Consider the following 22,974-nt stretch of genomic DNA (forward strand, 5'->3'; position numbering starts at 1 on the left):
CTTACCATTTGTCTGCAATGGTTTTGCCAGCATCTATCAATCTTCTTTAAAAAAAGAACGCTATCCAATGAATCCCTGAAACATATGTTAAGGATATTTTAAAGCGTTTGGTACAAGTCATATGTGCCATGTGACAGAGAGCATATTAGTCTTAAACATGAATACCTTGCACACTAAGTGAAACTAAATGGCACTTGATTATGCACCAAAGTGCTATTTCCTAATTTGTAAAAGAAAAAAAAAACATAGTTTATACTAAAAAACACCTTTAAAAACAAGTCTTAGACATAACTGAACATCGTGTTTTCAGTTTACTATTTCCCTTAGGAGATTATTTTTCCTCAAGTGGAAATCTGATAGGGCAAAAAGGATAAAGACATAAGGACATCTTATTTACATGAATACCACACGTAGTCCTGGACACGAATTAAGGCTGAAAAGTCAAAATGTGTTTCTTTCTCGAGAAACACAAGGCACAAAAAATGACAAACCTACAAAATACAGGCATTCTACTTCAAGCTGGGTTAAACAGTGAGGGGTAGGGACAGAGAGGAAGACAAAACTATTCACGATTTTTTGTTTTAAAAAGGATATTCTCTGAATTGATGAATCTGTGCTTTGATGTGATCTTCGCAGATCTGTCTCAGCTGTTTGTACAAGTTTGCAGAAATCTTGTAAGAACAGAGATTTTCTACAGCCTGCAAGGTTAAAATACTTTCTTAAGGAGAGGATGAAGGATTTCTCAACTATTTACATCAGATTCTTATTAATTTGATATTTCTACCACATCAGCTTATTAAAAAGGGTTATTCATCCACTTAAGACACAAGGTAAAACAACAAAATATATCAATGTGGGTGGCAAACTTTCTCATAACCAATGCACTGTATCAAAAAAGAACAAATTACAGGTTTAGCATCTTTAATCTAAAAATCTGAAATCCAAAAAGCTCAAAAATCTGAAACTTTTTGAGTGCCAACATGCTGCTCAAAGAAAATCCTACTTGGGCTGGGTACAGTGGTTCATGCCTGTAATCCCAACATTTTGGGGGGCCAAGGTGAGAGGATTGCTTGATGCCAGGCTAGAACAGCCTAGGCAACTGTGATGGTTACTACTGAGTGTCAACTTGATTGGATTGAAGGATACAAAGTATTGATCCTGGGTGTGTCTGTGAGGGTGTTGCCAAAAGAGATTAACATTTGAGTCAGTGGGCTGGGGAAGGCAGATCCATCCTTAACCTGGTGGGCACAATCTAATCAGCTTCCAGTGAATATAAAGCAGGCCAAAAAAAGTGAAAAGGAGAGAAGGGCCTAGCCTCCCAGCCTACATCTTTCTCCCATGCTGGATGCTTCCTGCCCTCGAACATCAGACTCCAAGTTCTTCAGTTTTGGGAATCAACCTGGCTCTCCTTACTCCTCAGCTTGCAGACAGCCTATTGTGGGACCTTGTGATCGTGTAACTTAACACTTAATAAACTCCCCTTTATATATATCTCCTACTAGTTCTGTAGTTCTGTCCCTCTAAGAAAACCCTGACTAATACAGAAACAAAGCAAGACCCCATCTCTACAAAAAATTTAAAAATTAGCTGGGCCCAGTGGTGTGTACCTGTAGTTCCAGCTATTTAGGAGGCTGAGGCAGGAGGATCACTTGAGCCCAAGAGTTCAAGGTTGAAGTGAACCATGACTACGCCACTGCACTCTAGCCTGGGGACAAAGTGAGACCTTGTCTCAAAAATAAAAAAGCTGTCTTGTTTAAAATGTTAATCATTTTCACAAGCAGAGCTTCATTTTGGGTTTAAAAAAGAATTTCACCTGTTGTTTATGTATCAGATGGGTTGGGCAGTCCTACTACAATTGAATTAAAATTTACTTAAACGTTCTTGGATTTTCCTGAACAGAACAAAGCAGAAATTATTGCTAGTAGTATGATAATGAGTATGATATAATACCAAGGAATTTTCTCCAACATTTCAGTTTAAGAATAGTTAAATATAGATTTTAAAATCTGTGGCTGGGCGCAGTGGCTCATGCTTGTAATCCCAGCGGTTTAGGAGGCTGAGGCGGGTGGATCACTTGAGGTCAGGAGTTCAAAATCAGCCTGGCCAACATAGTGAAACCCCGTCTCCACTAAAAATACAAAAATTAGCCGGACATGGTGGTGCACGCCTGTAATCCCAGCTACTCAGGAGGCTGAGGCAGGAGAATTGCTTGAACCCAGGAGGTGGAGGGTGCAGTGAGCCGAGATCACACCAGTGCACTCCAGCCTGGGCAACAGAGAGAGACTCCATCTCAAAAAGGAATAAAATAAAAAATAAATAAAATTTGTACAACTGAATTAACGCCAATTACAAAAGAAAGAACTGCATTTTTACTTCACTTTAATAACTGAATTGGTCTTCTTTTATACTCAGATTCCAGAAGGATGACCTTCAGATTTCCGTAAGTTTCCTGTTATGCATATATAAAAGACTTTCAAATTTAAAACAACAGGCATGCTAAAACTCTTTGGGAAAACTCTGATATAATCTATAATTCCAAGTGGTAATGACTTAAATGTAACACCAGAATTCCTTTCTCACCACAACAGAAGAAAAAAATTCCATTAAAATGAACTCTAGGGGGGCATCCAAGTTCTGTGGGTTGGAGTGGAATTTTAAAAATATGTAGTTAGAAGTCACATTCCCAATATGCAGGTCCAGTAAATAAATCAGCAAATGAAAAGAAAGCTTGGCAGAGCGCGGTGGCTCACGCCTGTAATCCCAGCACTTTGGGAGGCCGAGGCGGGCAGATCATGAGGTCTGGAGTTCGAGACCACTCTGACCAACATAGTGAAACCCTGTCTCTACTAAAAATACAAAAATTAGCCGGGTGTGGTGGTGTGCACCAGCTACTCGGGAGGCTGAGGCAGGAGAATCTCATCAACCCGGGCGGTGGAGGTTGCAGTGAGCCGAGAATGTGCCATTGCATTCCAGCCCAGGCAACAGTGTGAGACTCTGTCTCGAGAAGAGAAGAAAAAAGAAGAGAAGAGCAGAGCAGAGCAGAGCTTAAAGGAAACCTCTTACACCACGAGACAAGTCACCACACCTCATCAGGAAACAGCAGGCCAATTAGATTGAGCAGCTATGGAGGAATAAGAAGGCTGAGACCCTGCTGGCCTGCCCACTTTTCACGTGACCTGGGGCTAGGCCACAAATGCTTAAGGGAATTTACATTTATTTCATGTGCCTCTCTGTTCACACAGGTCCTTTGTGGACTGTCCCCCTTCCACCTTTAGTATTCCTCTCATTGTATCTCACCGTTCCTTCTGAATGACTGTTTTCTCAGCATTTCTTATCGCTTTGCTTAGATTCTGTCATATGACTTAGTGCGTACTTCATCTTTCCACATTGTGCACTTCCGGTACTTCTCTAAGTCCTATTTATCCCATTTCCTTCTGCTATGTTCCCTTCTCAAATAAAACAGTTCTCGGCACATCTACTTATCTTCTCACACAAGATACCATATTCCCTTACTACTCAATTAGGTCCCACTTCTTCCAATAAGTTCTTCTTAATTGACTCAGCTACCAGTGACTCACATGGCACTCGCACCCATCATACCACACTGACTTAGTCATTGAGTCAACACTATTTATCTCCCAACCACTGGACACTTCTTACACAAAACTACTTATCTTTTTATGTGTATATCTTGTCTCTCTGACTCCTTAATGACAGAAAGACATTGTGTGTTCATCTATCTATAAGTTCTTTAATACTTTTTGAGCTTTGAACCAAGTGAATACATGAAGTATTCAAAAAAAACTCTAGCAATGTGTCCTGCACATAGAAAGGGCTTCTAGTATGAGAAAAGTTGCCAGAAAACGTGTAATTACGATTGAGTGTGCTAGATGCTATGATGAGGATAAGCAGAGAGATGAGGCCCCTAACCCAGCATTTAGGGGAGGGCAAGTCAGAAAAGCCTTCCTGGGAAGAGGTAAAGGGACAGAGTCCCAAAGACCCACAGGGAAACAGATAAAAAGTTAGTGGAAATAGTGAGAAATCGAGAATTAAGCTGGGCTTTACAGCACAGAGTCTCACCTGTGTTTGGCTGGAGGGTGGTTTAAGAACTTTAAGGCAAGAAAGGCAGGAGCATCTAAGGTGAGTTTTGAGGTCAAGTTCGGAGGGAACATTCTGTTTTTCTAATTTAGCCTTGACTGCTTAACCTATAGACCGGATCTAGTCATTTTCCTTCCTCAACAACCTTCCATCAAGCTTTTCCTGTACTGTGATGGAGCAATCTCGTAATAGGTATAAATAAACAAACAAAAAGAACTATCCGGTACATGGTCTGCTATCATTTATGTAAAAAAGGAACAAAATAAAAACATACACAGTCGTTTTACGTATATAAAACATCTCTGGAAAGATACCCAAAAAACTAATAATGTCTGTCACAAAGAGAACTAACTAGGGGACTGGAGGATGGGGTGGAAGTGAGACTTCTCACTACATGCTCTGCAATACTTTCGGGGCTTTGAACCAGAGGAATATATCAGGTATTCAAAAAACTTAAATACTTGCCTTCCCCAATAAAAGCCTTTCTAACTTCCCCACCACCATACTTTTTAGCATGGTGTTCAAGGCAAATCTTACCACTTTCATCTCATGTCTGATTATAACTTTTCTTTTTTCTTTTTTTTTTAGATGGAGTCTTGCTCTGTCGCCCAGATTGGGGTGCAATCTTGGCTCAGTGCAACCTCTGCCTCCAGGTTCCAGTGGTTCTCCTGTTTCAGCCTCTCAAGTAGCTGGGATTACAAGCATGCGCCGCCACACTCAGCTAGGTTTTTTTGCATTTTTAGTAGAGATGGGGTTTTACCATGTTGGCCAGGCTAGTCTCGAACTCCTGACTTCAAGTGAACTGTTCACCTCAGCCTCCCAAAGTGCTGGATTACATGCATGAGCCACCTTGGCCACCCGATTATAACCTTTCACACATCCTTTGATCCAAGTACTCTACTTTTCTCACCTTTAGGCAAGATTTGGAGTGGTGTCTGTAAAACAGTGGCTTCCAAAATGTTTTGACCCAAAGCCACAGTAGGAAATCTAATGTCACAATCCATCATACATAAATTTATGTAACTAAAATAAAATCTTCACGAACCTACACATCATTACTCTATGTGATGCATTCTGATATTTGCTATTTCATTTCTTTTTAAAAAATGCTGGTCACGAACTATTAATTTCATGAACCTATTAGAACATAAGTAACTTAGGGTAGGTACTTATGCTCTCTTACTAGTACTAAGTGCTTTCCATAACCCCAAGGTATCAGTCCAGTTTTGGACACAGTAAGCAGTCATGGATTGAACAAGGAATGACTGTTTACTAAGTACTCTTCATCCTATTACATGCTGGGATGGAAACAGGAATAAGAAGGTGTTTGAGATAAGCTCTATTTTACTCTAGATCTTTGAAAAGCACTTTTACAAATATATTCTTTTAAATATTATGTATTTATTATTTATGTATTTTTACATATTATGCATTGTTTTATTTAAATATTATGTATTATTTATGTATTTTTACATATTATGCATTACGTATTTATTATTTACACTAATAAAACACTTTGGGAATCTCTGGAAGTAACCTCTTGCCTCACAAACAACTATTTGTAATAAACAGATTCTAGATAACTGCAACCTCTGCCTCCTGGGTTCAACCGATTCTCATGCCTTAGCCTTCCCAGTAGCTCGGATTACAGACACGTGCCACCACACCTGGCTGAATTTTGTATTTTTGGTAGAGACTGGGTTTCACCATGTTGGCCAAGCTGGTCTTGAATGCCTGACCTCAGGTGATCCGCCCACCTTGGCCTCCCAAAGTGTTGGGATTTCAGGCGTCAGCCACCGCACCCAGCCTTACAAGTCTTTTTAATAAAACTATCTTTTTATTTAAGCTCCCACTAATTACCAGTAAATATGCTGCCTTAAATCCTTTGAAGGTACTTAGGTATAAAATACAGGCATTCTAGCAAGCTTCTAACCCTTATTCTTCCAAATCCCAGCCCTTCCCCTCCAAAATCCACAGGATACATAAAAAATGTGTCTTTCTTCACAAGGATGAGCTAAAAAAAAGTGTCTGAAAAAAAAACACAGTCAAAAAATATATATAAACGTGTAGCAAATGACATATGCAAATATTTACTGAACAACAGACAATAAAAAAGATACTGAATTTCCACCAGGGTGTTGAACTCTGGTCACTGGTCTAAGGAGTGGAGTCTTAGTTTTCGAGCTATGTTTACAGATAGTAAGTAAAGCACATAACAAAAAATTCAACAACTGATATAGCAATAAGATCTACATTATCTCTCTTTTTATGTCAAGTAAATATGGCTAAGATACTCTAAGTATTCAAAAACTAAGAATCTGTTTAAAGGAAACCAACTATACAATGAAACCTAAACTCCTTTTCTTTTTACTTCCAGTAAACAGGACTTAAATAAGACTGAAAATTATCAAGGACTAAGAATTTGTAAGTGCACATTTTAAAATTTTTTATTATTTAATAATCTATTGTATATTTCAAAATAACAAAGAGTAGAATTTTAGTTGTACATTTTAAAAAACAGCAACAATAGTACTGATTAACGATTCAGTAAAAAGAGAAATACATAATACATAATAGACTAAGCTTTAAGACATCAACAGGGTGACAAAAGTTACACAGACTCCAACAGCTAGTCATCAACAATGCTAAGAATCTAACTGCTTTCTTAATAATCACTGACTGCTTAAGCAACCAGATTTTACAATTGATAATAACCTATACTATTTGATTCTAGTCCTGTGGTCATCTACTCTATAAATGAATCGTTAATAGAAAGGTTCATCATTTAAGGTTTATTTCACAAAAAGGTAACTACAGTTCCCATTATTAATAATAAATAAAATTATTTTCATCAGAATTGAAGTATGGCCTAGGCTTGACTTTAAAAATAGCTAGAGATTTATAGGAAAGATAAATGTTACACGCTCCTGTACAAACTTCCAGCATCTCCAAAAAAGGTAGCTGATCTTAAACACTGTAGTAGGCCAGACATGGTGGTTCATGCCTGTAAGCCTGGCACTTTGGGAGGCCAAGGCGGGATGACTGCTTGAGGCCAGGAGTTCGAGAACAGCCTGGGCAACATAGCAAGACCCCCATATCTCTATTTAAACAAAACAAAACAAAACACTGCGGCTACTCATACAAAAGTTGAGAACATGAGCTCATAATAGGATTATGAAAATAATCCTATTTAAAATATTACTTATTAATAGTAAAAAAACTCACACCAAAACCAAAATTCCAACTGTATGATACCACATGTGAAAACAAGACACATTCTTTTTAAGCGTAGAGGGACACTGTTCCTAGAGAGTTCCTGTCTTTTTCTATTATTTTTTCAATTTCGCTAATGGTGTCTACTGAAGCACATTTGGAATGTAATCTATTTATCAGACAGCTGCTCTGGCCCAGTGTAGATTTAGAATTTAAAATCGTGTGGCTTCAGAGCTCTAAAATAAAATGTAATTTTAAAATAAAGATTTCTTTTCTAAAGACTCAAATATCTACTATCATTGATGACACATACCAATATATAGCAGGAACTGTGATAATTACTTTTTTGCAATATTTCATTTACGTCTAAAAAACCCTACCATATAGGTAGCCGTTAGTCTCACCATCTTGTAAATGAGGAAACCAAGACTTAGAGAAGTAACTCGCCCAAAGTTATATGATGAGTGACAGATTTGTAACCTAAGGCAGGCTGGACAGCTCAAAAGTCAGTGCATTTAATCAGTCTTATTTGCAGTCAATTAAAAACAAGCACGCAAACAAACAAAACAGTCAAATGAAAACATTAATCACTGCCTCACACCCACAGGATCTCAAGGTTGTCAAGGAAAGATAATTTTAAAACTCAGGTCCAATTCTAATTTAAAATTACTTTAAAAAGACAATGTTTGCTTACTGCAAGTGTACTTAGAACAGCATGTTCTTTTATAGAAATTAAAAACTTAGTAGGCAGTACATGCAACCCACACTAGGGACTTCCATACTTAAAGCTTTAAAGCAAAATGTTTTTTCATGCAGAAGTAAGTTCTAAGCAGATATATGCCAGTAAGTGTTTACCTCAGAGAAAGAGGGTGGGACAGGGGTTTGGAGAACTTTTGTATAACTACATATTTCCACATTATTTCAATTTTAGAAGAGTACTTTTTCTTATGTTTTTATTTCCCACTCAGGTAGATTGAGAGAGTACTTCTAATTACGTTTCAATGAGTCAAAATCAAACAAGCACCTGAAGTCCAGATTATATGAAATAGCTTTACCTCCTTTATCCTCCTGTTTGAACTTGAACATCTCAAAATAATCTTTCTGAGAACAATCCAAAGGAACATTTATAAAATTAAGGTCAAAAACAGTAAAAGAGCTAAAAACCAATGCTTTTGAATTCATTATAGCAAAAGCAGTAAGGTATTATGAAAAATGCAAACAGTGAAGTTATAAGACTTGTGACTAGGCTAAAGAAATGCAACTGAACAACAGCAGGTAAAACTTACGAAGTACAAGAAAACAAAAACAAGAGATGCAAGCTCTATGCTCTTGAAAGAAAAAGATTTAACAGAATCAATGTATCAGGAAAAGTATTTTCAAATCAAAAGCTCTGGAAAAATATTCAAGGTAAAGTAAATAGGGTTAATTAATAACCACAATAAACATTTGTTACAAATATGGAATATATAAAATATTATTGAAATTAAATATGCTGTATACCAGCATATCCAAATAAACACCATATACTATCCAAATAAACACCACTTATGCATGCACAGATAAAAATACTACTAAAATTATAAAGAGCTTTTTCCCTAAAGTAAAACAATTTAATTGTTTCAAACACTGCACTACAGTGGTATTCAAAGTACCAGGGTATATTAGTGAGGTGGTACAGGAGTAAAAGTGCAATGAACTAGAAATCCAGCATCTCAGTTTGAGTTGCCCCTGCTCTGCCAATATGTGACTCTGGGCAGGTTATTCAACTTCTCTGAGACTCAGTCTCCTCATCAATAAAGTGGGGATAGGCCAGGCGCGGTGGCTCACACCTGTAATCCCAGCACCTTGGGAGGTGGAGGCGGGTGGATCACTTGAGGTCAGGAGTTCGAGATCAGCCCGGCCAACATGGTGAAACCCTGTCTCTACTAAAAATACAAAAACTAGCAGGGCGTGGTGGCAGGCGCCTGTAATTCCACCTACTTGGGAAGCTGAGGCAAGAGGATCACTTGAGCCCGGGAGGTGGAGGTTGCAGTGAGCCGAGATCACGCCACTGCACTCCAGCCTGAGTGACATAGCAAGACTCCATCTCAAAAAAAAAAAAAAAAAAAAGTGGGGATAGTAACTACTACCCTACGTACCCCAGAAAGGGTTTCCATAATGCTTATATGAGATAATACGAGATGAATCCCCTTTGCAGGCTGTCATGGACACCACAAAGAAAAAATATTGGACCACATGCTCTCTTAAGGCCTTTCCAAGTCAGTTTCATATTTTGGCTTTTATTGTTGTACATTTTAAGAGACGCATATATAATACGCCAAAAGAGCCATATGAAATGGGCTTATTCTTAAGTAATAGCTTAGTACTACAACTACTAGCCGACATTTGCATAGCATTATAATGCTTATAATGTTACACGGCATTATTACTATGTGTTGTGCACTGATTTGAGTATTTTGCGTGTACTAATTTTCACAGCAACAGAAACTGGTGATCTCAATTGTCATACTACAAGTGAAGAAGCTATAATGTGGCTTGTAAAAAAGTTTGACTCGTGATACCATCTTATATTTGTAAGATTATAGTGCCTGGAGGCGTTTTCCACAAATATCTTATTTGATTCTTATCAGCAACCTTGTGAGACAGGTAGGGCAAACTATTATTTCCTCTACTTTAGAGAGGAGGAAATTTAAATTGAGAGTGACGGCTGGGTTTGGTAGCTCATGCCTGTAATCTCAGCACCTTGGGAGGTTGAGGTGACAAGACTGCTGTAGCCCTGGAGTTCAAGACCAGCCTGGGCAACATAGCAAGACCCCTATCTCTTAAAAAAACAGGAAAAAAAACTGAGAGGGCTTTAGTACCTGGCCCAAGATTATGAGGGTAACAGCAGTCAAAACTAGATCCCAAACCCATCTTCTGACTCCTAATCCAGGTTTACCCATCACCATACTAGCTCTGCAACTAAAATATACAAATACTGATAAATAAAACCAACATAATTTCTTACAAGGTACTCATCAATACAAAAATTCAAGCTATTGTACTCTGAAGTATATATATATTTTTTTTTTTTTTTGAGATGGAGTTTCACTCTTGTTGCCCAGGCTGGAGTGCAATGGTGCAATCTCGGCTCACCGCAACCTCTACCTCCTGGGTTCAAGCGATTCTCCTGCCTCAGCCTCCTGAGTAGCTGGGATTACAGGCATGCACCACATTGCCTGGCTAATTTTGTATTTTTAGTAGAGACGGGGTTTCTCCATGTTGGTCAGGCTGGTCTCGAACTCCTGACCTCAGGTGATCTGCCAGCCTTGGCCTCCCAAAGTGCTGGGATTACAGGTGTGAGCCACCGTGCCCGGCCTGAAGTATCTTTTAACACCAAATCCCTGACACTCTAATGAAAGTAACTTCTTGAATTGGTTGTGTGTCAAATACACAGTAGGGAAAAATTTCTTGGTAGCAAGGGATTGCCCTTAGGAACTGCCCTTAAAATTATATTTAAGTGTAAGGACCCATTTGCTAAGTAAAGAATCTGAACCTCAGACTAAGCTGCTGGACTACAAACTGCTACTCATTTCTGGGCTAAGGTGCGTCTTGTAGCCCAGGTATTAGAAAAATGTAAAGAGCAAGAAAAAGAAATGGCAAAGTCTACTATTAAGAAGGAGGTAGAATAAAGGATATGAATAATATCTGCATGTCTTGAGGCCTTTCCTATGGGTAGGTAACACAACTAAGAAACAATTATCACAATAGAATGACATGTCACCAGAAATCATCTTTGGGATTCATGCTATAGGATTACATTATAGGTAGAACTTCTATTACACCAAGGTACACGTAACTGTAATTTCTTATCAGGAGGGTCAAATATAAGCACAACTTATACTGGTATGACTGTACCCATGGTTTATGTGAGAATACGTGGTCTAATTATAGAGTTCATCAATTAATGGAGAAACTAAAATTAGAAGGGAACCAAAAGTCTACTTAAGAACCTATTTCAGAAAGCAAAATCCATATACATCCCACCTCAATTTATGTTAATCAAATCTGGTTATGCATATTAATACATACCTGGTAGAGTTCTTCTAAATTGTACTTAATTGAAGTACTATTCTGAATAGCTTCCACTGCTTCTTTCAGTTTTTGCCAGGTTTCATCTGTGTAGTTTTCTGGTAATTTAGGCTTATCTAGATGATATGTAAAAGGTTGGCATCAGAATACCATGTCAGATACAGTAACCAAAGATTCATAAAATATAATAGCATTACTAATTTTAGGGTAAATTGTGATCTTTATAACTATTACACCTAATCATTAAAGTAACCACTGTATTTAAGCTTAATATAAAGAATAAAATTTGAAATGCCATAATACTGTTTAAGTCATTTTGACTCACCTATTAAAATTGAAGGTGAGGTTTTTCTCCTATTGATTGTATTGCTTCAAAAAAATAAAAATTCAAGAATGACCATAAAAAATAACAATCCTGATCTTATTTCATCATGTGTAAAACCTAAGTCGACATGAATTTTTAACCTGAGATTTAAAGTACTGTCTATGTGCAAGGTACTTTATAAGCCTCTTAATCTTCCCAACAATACCCTGAGGAATCTATTTTACAACCGAGGAAACTGAGGCTGGAACTCATTTAGTAAGCTTGCCCAAGGTCATCATAGCTAGTCAATGGCAAAGCTGGGATTCTAATTCAGGTCTGTTTGACCCCCACATTTATGCAGCATCTATAGAAATGGAAACATCTTAACTCAGGTTTTAAACTACATTTACGAGCAGAGTGAAATTTTTAAAGACTGAAAGAAATGACTCCAGAAACCATGTTGCATTTTCAGAATAGAAAGAAACATCTTACTCTAGGCTTTAAACTTCACTGACTAGCAATGAGTGTGGGGAAAAAAGTTTTAATTAGAATATCCAAATGCCTTAATAATATGCTTTTATTTTAGGAGGGAGAGAAAAAAATCTCTGAAACCAATTTGAAAATGCAACCAGGATCATAACTCATTTAAAAATCTTTAGCTACAAAATCCATATATTTTTAAGTGAAATAATGAAAACGTTACTCAATTACAATTCATATTGACTTCAGAAAGCTCTACTATTAAATCAGAAACTGAGAGCCTGGGTATGGGAAGGTAGTGATATAAAAAAGAAAGGGTTAAAAATAGACAACACCATAGCCCTCTGCTTGAGACAAAATAGAGCATACTCCTGATTTCCACACAATGTTAAAAACACAAGCATAGAGAACCTAATCTTCTCAATACTAATATTCAGCCACAAAGCACTTATCTCATAAATATTACTTAAGTTCATTCATTTACTTCTCTATTTAATAAACACTGTAGCACTGATTACCTGGCAGTTACGGGTGTTGAAAAAGTAAGTCAGAAAAACAGAAACACATTCAACAAATAAAAATTAATTCAGCTCAAATACATTTTTAAAAATTGCTGATTTTATATTTGCCTCAATGTATTCATAATACTCTCCTCACATATCTCAAACACGGTCTGAACAAATTTTCCTAAAAGCTGCAGGTCGATACTTTAAAATCCATTTTAGTGATGGAAAAAATAGATGTAGTAATTGTTCCTATCTTTAGACTAGTGGTACACAGAGTTACTACTTCTGTGTATACACAATGTTTTTCACTTTCAAACCCTACCTTTGGAAAGAAATGCAGAGAACATAAATTTTTCTTCAAATATTCCTTCCAAATGAGTTTCATGAATACAGTATAAATCTAATTATAAATCTTATTTGAGCATAAAAAGATCACTATTGCTACCTGCATTTCTAGGCATTGGATAATGTGGCCTACTGAAGCATAAAAATAAAAATCCCAGCAATGCCAAGGCTCGCTATGCACCTGAAATAAATAAACCTCTTTAGAATACAAATTTCTCACCTGCAAAATCCGGATCAATCATACCGATTGTCAGTGTTATAAGGAATAACAGATTAAATACAATAGGTTGAAAAAGACCTCAAAATACTGCACAGAAACACCCGGTGTATGCTTCAGCACAAGGATCCTAACCACCCCCGGAAAATGAACCCTCCACCAAAAAAGGACCTCCCCTCCACCTCATTGATTATGCATAAAACATTAGGCCACCTCCAAACTGTTTAATATATTAACATAAATAGAGCACGTGACCCCTCGAGTGTCAAATCCTTATTAGGTGATTATGGATTTTGGCCTTGGTTACCTTTAAAGTTCTTGATCACTAACTTCTTAGCAGAGCCAGGTTTGCTGTTAGCAAAGCTAGAGACGGTGGTAGAAGATTTGGCTAGGCCGTTTGCATGATGCACCGAAGCCACAGAAGAGATTAATATACTCTTATTTTTAAGTTGCTGCTGCTGAGATGTTGCAGCAGTTGGTGAAGATGAGGAGGAGGAGGAGGAGGATTCCTCAGCCATCTTCGCATCAAACCCTACAAACTCCAGGGTGTCTTCAAAACGCAGCTTCTTCTGTATCGGTACGTGGCTGGAAGCAGCCACTGAAACCCCCAGGCAGAAGGACGAGGTTGAAGGGGATGCCGAATCCCTGGGTTGTAAAGGAGGAGTGGAAGAGGAGGAAGAGGTGGAATCAAAGTCTTCTCTCTCGTTACTACTGTTACTGCTGCTACTGCTGCTGCTGTTTAACTTTCTCTTCTTGGCAGAGGTGGGCGGAGTGGTGCTGGTATTACCATCAGTGGCAGATCTGACCTCCTGAGCAGCAGCAGCAGCTGAGGGACTGGGGGAAGAAAAACCTGTTGGAAACATGAAAATAGCGGGGTCAACAGGCAGAGGAGCATCAAAAACCTACGTTTATATGCCTGCGTGCGTGTAGGAGAGAAGGTAGCAATGCTAGAGGGGGAAGGGAAGAAAGAAGAGAGGAGAAACACAGAGGACGAGAAGGAAAGTGAAGGGGGGGGCTACACCGGGGGAATGGGAGGGTTTGGGAAGGCGGATAGGCTGACACCAGGAGTGAGCAGAACGAGGGGGGAGAGCGAATGAGGAGGCAGACAGGTAAACGGCCGTGCCGTCCCCCTCCCCTGCTTTTCGATCTCTCTCCCCCCCTTTCTGCAGGAGCGACTCAGCGAGTCTGTGAGGCTGCAGCTCCTCCTCCTTTTCTCCCTCTCCCTGGGAGGGGAGAGGCTGTGGTTGGGGGAAAGGGGGAGGGGGAAAGAACCAGGGCTTGTTATTGTCAATAGCACAAGAGGCTAAAGATGGCGCCATTTCCGGTCACGCGGCGCCGAGGGAGGGGCGGTGTCAACCTCAGGGAGTGGGGGTGAGGGAAGCGCTGCAGCCGCCCGGGGGGCGGGGGAGCTCGCGCGTGAGGGGGCGGCTGGAAAGGGGCGGCTAAAGTGCCCCAGACGCTCGCGCTAGTTCGCTCCTGCTCCCGCTCCCCTTCGCGATCCCCTTTCCTGGCAGCGCCTTCCTTCCCTGGCCCACCGGGAACTCCCACTCCCTCCTTAACGGTCCCGCGGGAAGCTTCGCGCCGCAGCGCCCTTACCGGAAGTGACTGGGCAGACACTTTTCATAGCGCCCAGATCCCGAAGCCCCCAGGTCCGCAGGACTTGAGTGGGGGGGGGAAGGGGGGAGGGAGAAATTGGGGGGAAGAAAAGTGGATAGGAGGAGGGGGCGGGCCTTCGAGACACCTTCGGAGCTCCTGATTGGAGCTTTCTGAAGGCGAGGGGGTGGGGGGGGTGGCGGGAGGAGCGGGAAGGAGCCTCGGGGGAGGGAAGGTAGTGACGGCGAGGGGCGGAGTGAGCTAGCTGGGAAAACGGAGGAGGAGGAAGAGGAGGAGAGAGGGAGGGACGGAATAAAACGTAAGGGTCCGGGAGAATAGAAACTTTGAAAGAGATGAAAGAATAAGGAGTGGTTGCAAGGCTAGGGGAGTAACCCTAAATAGAGGAAAACATAATCATGCCATTATGCCCGCTGCTGGAGAGGAATGTCCCTATGTTAAGATAGGAAAGGAGAAGAAAACGAGCTAAGATAGGAAGAAAAGGACTTTTTAATTCGGTGCCGGTATAAATTGTTTCTCTTTTATCTCAAGGCACCACAGACCCAAGGCTGAATAAGGCCTGAATTTTGATGCCTTTCTCTTTCATGTAGCTGTAAATCCTTTTATCTTACTACCAGGAGCATTTTCTAAGCTGGCTGGCCAAATTAAGTGTGTATTCTAAGGCGAAGAAATGGAAAGGTAACTAACCCCTCACCCACCCAGCACTATGCCCAGGATCGTCCTAACCCCCACTCTATCAGTCCTTAACTCAGTAATTTATAGACCCAACAAAGCTAAGACCCACTTCCTTCTTTTGCCAAATCTCAGTTTACACGCTGTCCCAAAGGAGACATTTTAGAACCATATCGGCAAAAGTCAGTGTTTTCTACTAATGTGTTTCATGACCCCATGCTTTACAATTGATTATTGATTTAAAAAATCTTTAAGTTTGGTTAAATTAGCAACAATAAACCTTGTAAATTCCCTGTTGGGAGTTTTTACTTAACCTTGGGGCATTCTCAGAGGGAGGTAACACAATATCAAAAACTAAATTTGCCAACCTGTTGATCATTCTAACTGCAAAAGCATTCAGTTAGCATGTATGGTAAGACTATGCAAGGTCTCTGCCCTTGAGAAGCCAGTAGGGGAAGATAGTTTCAAAACTAATTTCCATAACAATAATATGACATATATACAAAGTGCTGTCAGAAGAGGCAAAACAAGAAATTTGGGAGAAATCTGGAATAGGAAGAGTTCTACAGAGATTATGTTTATGCTGTGTCTCAAAGTGGGAGTTGCCAAAAAGAGAAGAGGGAACAGGATGAAAGGCATTCTGGGGAACGGAAACAAGGGCAAAGCAAGGAGTGAAAGGGCCAGGCCTGTTTATGGAAACATGGAAAGTGCAGTGAGGCTGGGAAGTAGGATGTCTGGCTGGGAGTAAGGAAGATGAGGCTCAAAAGTGCCTGGCACACCAAGCCAAGAATTTGGAGTCTACTCTGTAGGCGATCATAGATAGCAGGGAGACAATCCAGCAAGCAGAGCTTTTACAAACCAGGGGTGACAGGATTGTGAGTGGAGTAAAAGCAGCTTGTATGGTATACCTTGTGATAGGTGAATCAGAACCCTGCAAATAAATCAACTTTCTAACTTTGTTTAAACAGGCCCACTTGTTTTTGTGTCTTGAAAAGTCCCTGATTAAAATGCAAATCAACCTTTGGCATTATTAGACAATATCATTGCTATTTGATGACAGCCTGCTGAAAGCAAGGCTCTAATGGAACTTAGAACCGCTGAGAAGGGAGATGGGGGCCTGAAAGGAGACAGATGGAAGCACTCCTATCTGTTTTGAATATACCACATAGTTTTTTTCATTTTGTTTTGTTTTGAAGACAGAATCTTGCTGTGTCGCCCAGGCTGGACTGCAGTGGTGTAATCTTGGCTCACTGCAACCTCTGCCTCCCGGGTTCAAGCGATTCTTGTGCGTCAGCCTTCTTGAGTACCTGGGACTACAGGCATGTATCACTACGCCTGCTAATTTTTTTTGTATTTTTAGTAGAGTCAGGGTTTTGCTATGTTGGCCAGGCTGGTCTCGAACTCCTGGCCTCAAGTGATCCGCCTGCCTCAGCCTCCCAAAGTGCTGGGCCTACCATATAGTTCTTGCTGCCCAAATAGAAACAGTAAACTCTTAAGGCCAGGAAAGACACCTTAATACATTGAACTTTCCTTTATCGTGTCTCACAGTTCACAAAATGCTGAACCACTGTAAATGCAGGGTAAATGCTTATTGAATTGAGTATTTCATTGCATGTGAATAAAATAATGCTGTGTCTTTATAAGGGAGGATTAACTGACTCATTTTCAGGATTTAATGAACAAGGTTGTTCTAATTCATGTAGTTAAAATCTTTAGGAGGGTATATGAAGTGCTAGCCATTTTAAAAAATTACAAATATTAGTGCAACTGAAAGGGAATGGACATAAAGATAAGAGAAAGCTGCTTTTGCCATACAAAGATAAACTTTTCTACTAACCTAAATGATAGCTGAGTCCTGTTAATATTTAACTACATTCTAGTAATAATAGTTCCCTATCTCACATGGTTATCTAAGCCCTTCAGTCTTCTGAGTTACATGTTGGTTTTAAAAAGCACAGATCTGGCCACGCGTGGTGGCTCATGCCTGTAATCCCAGCACTTTGGGAGGCCAACATGGGTGGATCACATGAGACCAGGAGTTCCAGACCAGCCTGGCCAATATAGTGAAACCCCGTTTCCACTAAAAATACAAAAATGAGCCGGACATGGTGGTGTTCACCTGTAATCCCAGCTACTCAAATGGCTGAGGCAAAAGAATCCCTTGAACCTGAGGCAGAGGTTGCAGTGAGCCAAGCTCACACTGCTGCACTCCAGCCTGGGTGACAGAGTGAGACCTTGTTACAAAAAACAAACAAACAAACAAAAAACAAGGCTAGGTGGCTCAGGCTTGTAATCCCAAAACTTTGGGAGGCTGAGGCGGGCCGATCACCTGAGGTCAGGGGTTCAAGACCAGCCTGGCCAACATGGTGAAACCCTATCTCTACTAAAAACACAAAAATTATCTGGGCACGTTGGCAGGTGCCTGTAATCCCAACTACTCGGGAGGATAAGGCAGAAGAATCGCTTGAACTCAGGAGGTGGAGGTTGCAGTGAGCCGAGATTGTGCCACTACACTCCTGCCTGGGCAACAGAGAAAGAGTCTGTCTCAAAAAAAAACAAAAACCTTCCAAGTTGGTTTGTAAAATATCTTTTACATCAAGAACCAACTAATTGAGGCTAGTTGAAGAACATAAGCGTATATTCTGTACACCCAAATGTTTGCCAATCAACGTTAAACACATTCTCAACATTAAAATACATTTTCAAGGTTGAACTCACGGGAGCCACACTAATCAAGATGTGTAATGTAGGACACCATACAATTATAGCCATTATCAGACTAAACCAGACTGGGCACTTAACACATATTCCATATTTAGGATCTTTCATCTTGTGAGTTCAACTCATACCTTAGAAACATTAATTAAACTTTACAATGTTGCCACATGAAGTGTAGTTATTATTGGCCACCTTTAACCAAGCTGTTTATAAAGGTAAGTATATGTGTAAAGGAAGAAATACAAACAAAGACAGGGAGCTAGCTTTTACAATGTCAATTCCTTTATTTCTGTGGACATCTCCCTAAAAAGGCAGAGTGTAACCCATTTCCCCTTTTTGATCACAGGGATTCCCCAGGGTGCTTGGGGAATCAAGATGTGTAATGTAGGACGCCATACAGTTATAGCCATCTGGGGTGCTTTAGGTCCTCTCCAGATATCTCATACCAGTGGCTTGCCACTAGACAGACACTCCTGGAAGCCTTCCTATCCAATGGGTGGGATTTTCCTTAGGAATGGGAGAGACTGCTTGCCCAGGAGAATCTGAAGATGTTTCTGAGAATGCATTAAAAAAACACAAACAACAACAAAAAGCAAAAACCAAAACAAAACAAAACAGAAAAAACGGCTGGGCACAGTGGTTCACACCTGTAATCCCAGCACTTTGGGAGGCCAGAGTGGGTGGATCACTTGGCCAGGAGTTTGAGACCAGCCTGGGCAACATGGCGATACCCTGTCTCTACTAAAAATACAAAAATTAGCCAGGCCTGGTGGTGCACATCTGTGGTCCCAGCTACTTGGGAGGCTGAAGTAGGAGAATTGTTTGAACCCGGGAGGCAGAGGTTGCAGTGAGCCGAGATTGCACCACTGCACTCCAGCCTAGGTGACAGAGTGCAAAAAAAAAAAAAAAAAAAAAAAAACTGCTAGGTAAAGGGCAGTCCATTTACTTTTTTTTTTTTTTTTTGTCTGAGACAGTGTCTCGCTCTGTCACCCAGGCTGGAGTGCAGCGGCGCCATCTCAGCTCACTGCAAGCTCCGCCTCCCGGGTTCATGCCATTCTCCTGCCTCAGCCTCCCAAGTAGCTGGGACTACAGGCGCCTACCACCACGCCCAGCTAATTTTTTTTTGTATTTTTAGTAGAGATGAGGTTTCACTATGTTAGCCAGGATGGTCTTGATCTCCTGACCTCATGATCCGCCCGCCTCGGCCTCCCAAAGTGCTGGAATTATAGGCGTGAGCCACCGCGCCCGGCCCAGGCAGTCCATTTTCTTCATCCACTTTTCTGAAGGATCATCTTTGAAGCAGGAAAGTACAGAGAAGGCAAACTAAGCAATGCTGAGATAGTAAAGATTGTATCATAATAAGGGCTTTGTTATGCTATCAACACCAATGGGCTGCTGAGGAGGCCAAAGCTCAAGCAAAAATAATCCAACTACACAATGTGAATTCATCAGTTTCCCATCCTGAGATTGCTATATAAAAGCAAGGAAAGTAATAACATGTGCTGAACCTATGTGCTAAGTAAAATGTAAATAGATAACAGATTTCATATGTATGTGTGTGTGTATAGGTATATATATATATATATATATATATATATATATATATATATATATGTATATATATTTGGGTTTTTTTTTGAGATGGAGTTTCGCTCTTGTTGCCCAGGCTAGAGTGCAATGGCACTACCTTGGCTCACCACAACGTCCACCTCCCGGGTTCAAGCGATTCTCCTGCCTCAGCCTCCCAAGTAGCTGGGATTACAGGCATGCAGCACCACGCCTGGCTAATTTTGTGTTTTTAGTAGAGACGGGGTTTCTCCATGTTGGCCAGGCTGGTCTCGAACTCCCAACCTCAGGTGATCTGCCTGCCTCAGCTTCCCAAAGTGCTGGGATTACAGGTGTGAGCCACCGCACCCAGCCAAATTTCATATTTTTAGCAAAATTGTTTATCTTACATCGCCTGAAGTTACTGACTTGGTACATCAACCATTCAAGCACTTCGTTCCTTAGCTCAGAGATTTTATCTGTCATACCTGTGAACCATCTGGAAAGCAGATTTAAGGACTAAAAGTTAGAGATAGGCTGTTTTCCCTGAGGGTTTGGGAGTGGGGAGCCAGAGCAGCCACAGATGACTTCTCCCTTGGGTGCTGCCAAGGACTTGCTTATGGAGTTGCTGGGCCTATATATATATTTGGCGAGCTGATGTGCCATGGCATGGGCCTATTTTTAACATTCTGTTTACTTTATCGATGTCTCTCAAAGTCCCTCCAACCCCACCCTGCTCAATGTTTGATCTAATGGCATTCAGCTTTTCTTTTTCTCACAGACAAGGCCAATTTAGATTTTTTTTTTTTTTTTTTTTTTTGAGACAGAGTTTGGCTCTGTCGCCCAGGCTGGAGTGCAGTGGTGCAATGTTGGCTCACTGCAATCTCCATCTCCCAGGTTCAAGTGATTCTCCTGCCTTGGCCTCCCAAGTAGCTGGGATTACAGGTGTGCACCACCATGCCCAGCTAAATTTTTTGGTATTTTTAGTAGAAATGGGGTTTTGCCATGTTGGCCAGGCTGGTCTTGAACTCCTGACCTCAGGTGATCCGCCCACCTCGGCCTCCCAAAGTGGTAGGATTACAGGCATGAGCCACTGCACCCAGTGCCAATTTAGATTTAAATCCAGGGTTCCCAACTCACTGTACAATAGAATGACCTAGGAGTTTTTTTTGTTTTTTAATCTTTACCCAGGTCCAAACCTAGTCAGTCCAATTCAATCAGAATCTCTGTGAGGAGGACCTCAATTATCAGTATTTTTAAGAAGCTCTTGGCCAGGTGCGGTGGCTCATGCCTGTGCCTGTAATCCCAGCACTTTGGGAGGCCGAGGCAGGAGTATTGCTTGAAGCCAGGAGTTCAAGACCAGCCTGGTCAACAAAGCGAGACCCTGTCTCTATCGAAAAAAAAAAAAAAAAATTAGCTGTATGTGCTGGCATATCCCAGCACTTTGGGATGCTGAGGTGGGAGGATTGCTTGAGCCCAGGAGTTCCAGCTGCAGTGAGCTATGATGGTGCCAATGCACTCCAGCCTGGGTGACAAAGTAAGACTCTGAAGAAAAAAAAAAAAAACAGCTCTCCAGGAAATTCTACATACCTCCAAGTTTGAGAAACCATAGTTGTAGATGAAGTAAGTATGTCTTGTGATTTGAATGGGGCTGATAAGCACTTGTATTCCGTTTAATGCCTGAAATTTCATGATTATTTATTCACTCATTTGGATAACACATTGCCTCCTTCTCTAGGAATCCTTTTTTAAAGTGCAAATTAGCCAAGGAGTCTTAGTTCCTAACCCTTTAAGGTGAATGCCTCTTGGAGGAAAAAAGCTAATAGGAAAGTCCTAGGAGACTGGAGGTAAACAGAACTAGAAGAAGCCACTGCAATAGGGAGTGGTGAGAGGTGAGGTTACCAACCAGGAAGGAAAGATTTCTGAGAGTACATTTTGCTGACCTCACAGTATTGCCTAGGGCCAATCCTGCTTTTTGATGACTGCATATTTAAAACCTAATCAAGTTTGACAGCTTATCTAAGCTGCCAAAATCATACTAAAAGAAAATTTAAATATTTTTTATAAGCAAAGCAGAGAGCAGACATTGGGTATGTAGGTTTAGAGCTATCCCTAAATGCCCAACTTTTAAATTATCACTCACCTCAGGGAAGTTTCTATTACCAAGTCATGTATTTTTCCTGCTTCTATTACTAAATGTCCTTTATTCCCACCAACAGCATTATTTCTCTCTCCAATTCCTTTGGTCATTCAACAAAAATATATTGAGCAAATACTCTCAGCAACGCATGGTGCTAGATGCCGTGAGGGAATACAGAATAACACAAAATTCAATTTGTAGTTGATTTCACAGTTTTTCAAAGCACTTTCACATACAATCTTATTTTATCCTGATAAACACACTGTGAGATAGATCAAGTACCATCCCCACTGTACAGATAAGAAGTAGGCTCAGCAAAGGAAGTTAAAATTATTTGCTAAAGTCACAAAGCACACAGACCTAAGTCCAGTTCTTCACAGACTCCAAATACAGCACTTCCCATAGTTTACAATTTCGTAAGGAGACTTGCCATAAAATAGTCTCAAGTAGTAGACATGTTAGAAAAAGACGTTCAGAGCCCCACTCACCAAGAGAAAAAAATGAAGAATAAGAAAATAACTCTTTTATTGAGATAAGCTAAATCAAAATGCCCAAAAGGAGACCAAGCTTGCATGCAGTTCAGGCCACCATCAAGCAGGTAGGACAAAACAGCCGGCAATGCACATTTAAGGATATGGTGGCAATCTTGTTCTAGAGAATCAGTCTATTCTCTGGCTGGACCCTCAGCCAGTGGCTGATCTTCACAAGAGGTAGAAACTGGCTGCTTCTCCTGGCCAAATCCAGGAAAACAGTGAAGGAACCCTGCCGGCAGACCCATCATGTTCTACTCCCTTAGTATACAAAGACAACCCTTGCCCTCCATTCTCAATTGGCAATGTAGGTTTAGAGCTATCCCTAAATGCCCAACTTTTAAATTATCACTCACCTTAGGGAAGTTTCTTTTTTTTTTTTTTTTTGAGACGGAGTCTCGCTCTGTCTTCCAGGGTGGAGTGCAGTGGTGCCATCTTGGCTCACTGCAAGCTCCGACTCCCTGGTTCACGCCATTCTCCTGCCTCAGCCTCCGGAGTAGCTGGGACTACAGGCGCCCGCCACC

The 22,974-nt window shown here is 40.7% G+C and overlaps 1 protein-coding gene across 4 annotated transcripts in view, besides 7 other annotated features; it reads right to left on the bottom strand.

Annotated features, from left to right (window-relative positions):
- Positions 1–22,974, bottom strand: part of CUL4B (cullin 4B) — a 51,675-nt gene that overhangs the window by 22,684 nt on the left and 6,017 nt on the right. Inside the window, exons 1-5 of one of the 4 annotated variants that reach the window (NM_001330624.2) lie at positions 14,831–14,912; positions 13,542–14,084; positions 11,383–11,498; positions 595–698; positions 6–75 (exon numbers count right to left, since the gene is read on the bottom strand). In NM_001330624.2, the coding sequence (NP_001317553.1) occupies positions 6–75; positions 595–698; positions 11,383–11,498; positions 13,542–14,084; positions 14,831–14,858 (861 nt within the window). In that variant the 5' untranslated portion in view covers positions 14,859–14,912. Of the gene's footprint in view, positions 1–5; positions 76–594; positions 699–11,382; positions 11,499–13,237; positions 13,358–13,541; positions 14,422–14,830; positions 14,913–22,974 lie in introns of those variants that run through there. The other 3 variants (NM_003588.4, NM_001079872.2, NM_001369145.1) reach the window with 3 other exon arrangements.
- Positions 2,880–4,079: an enhancer, noted in NCBI's record as "MED14-independent group 3 enhancer chrX:119683276-119684475 (GRCh37/hg19 assembly coordinates)". NCBI's record gives its function as "activates an origin of replication core promoter dependent on BRD2, BRD4, P300/CBP and CDK7 cofactors, and independent of MED14, by STARR-seq in HCT116 cells {active_cell/tissue: HCT116}" and the evidence as "EXISTENCE:reporter gene assay evidence [ECO:0000049][PMID:35650434]".
- Positions 13,490–14,375: an enhancer, noted in NCBI's record as "H3K27ac hESC enhancer chrX:119693886-119694771 (GRCh37/hg19 assembly coordinates)". NCBI's record gives its function as "activates a minimal SCP1, AML or CMV promoter by ChIP-STARR-seq in primed H9 embryonic stem cells {active_cell/tissue: H9 hESC(primed)}" and the evidence as "EXISTENCE:reporter gene assay evidence [ECO:0000049][PMID:30033119]".
- Positions 13,490–15,260: a biological region, named in NCBI's record as "H3K27ac hESC enhancers GRCh37_chrX:119693886-119694771 and GRCh37_chrX:119694772-119695656".
- Positions 14,373–14,667: an enhancer, noted in NCBI's record as "tiled region #11856; HepG2 Activating non-DNase unmatched - State 1:Tss, and K562 Activating DNase matched - State 1:Tss". NCBI's record gives its function as "activates a minimal TATA promoter and a strong SV40 promoter by Sharpr-MPRA in HepG2 and K562 cells {active_cell/tissue: HepG2 | K562}" and the evidence as "EXISTENCE:reporter gene assay evidence [ECO:0000049][PMID:27701403]".
- Positions 14,376–15,260: an enhancer, noted in NCBI's record as "H3K27ac hESC enhancer chrX:119694772-119695656 (GRCh37/hg19 assembly coordinates)". NCBI's record gives its function as "activates a minimal SCP1, AML or CMV promoter by ChIP-STARR-seq in primed H9 embryonic stem cells {active_cell/tissue: H9 hESC(primed)}" and the evidence as "EXISTENCE:reporter gene assay evidence [ECO:0000049][PMID:30033119]".
- Positions 14,641–14,720: a silencer, noted in NCBI's record as "silent region_20967". NCBI's record gives its function as "represses an Ori minimal core promoter by ATAC-STARR-seq in GM12878 lymphoblastoid cells {active_cell/tissue: GM12878}" and the evidence as "EXISTENCE:reporter gene assay evidence [ECO:0000049][PMID:35858748]".
- Positions 15,021–15,070: a silencer, noted in NCBI's record as "silent region_20968". NCBI's record gives its function as "represses an Ori minimal core promoter by ATAC-STARR-seq in GM12878 lymphoblastoid cells {active_cell/tissue: GM12878}" and the evidence as "EXISTENCE:reporter gene assay evidence [ECO:0000049][PMID:35858748]".

Source organism: Homo sapiens, chromosome X, assembly GCF_000001405.40.
Source record: "Homo sapiens chromosome X, GRCh38.p14 Primary Assembly".
Classification (NCBI taxonomy): domain Eukaryota; kingdom Metazoa; phylum Chordata; class Mammalia; order Primates; family Hominidae; genus Homo; species Homo sapiens.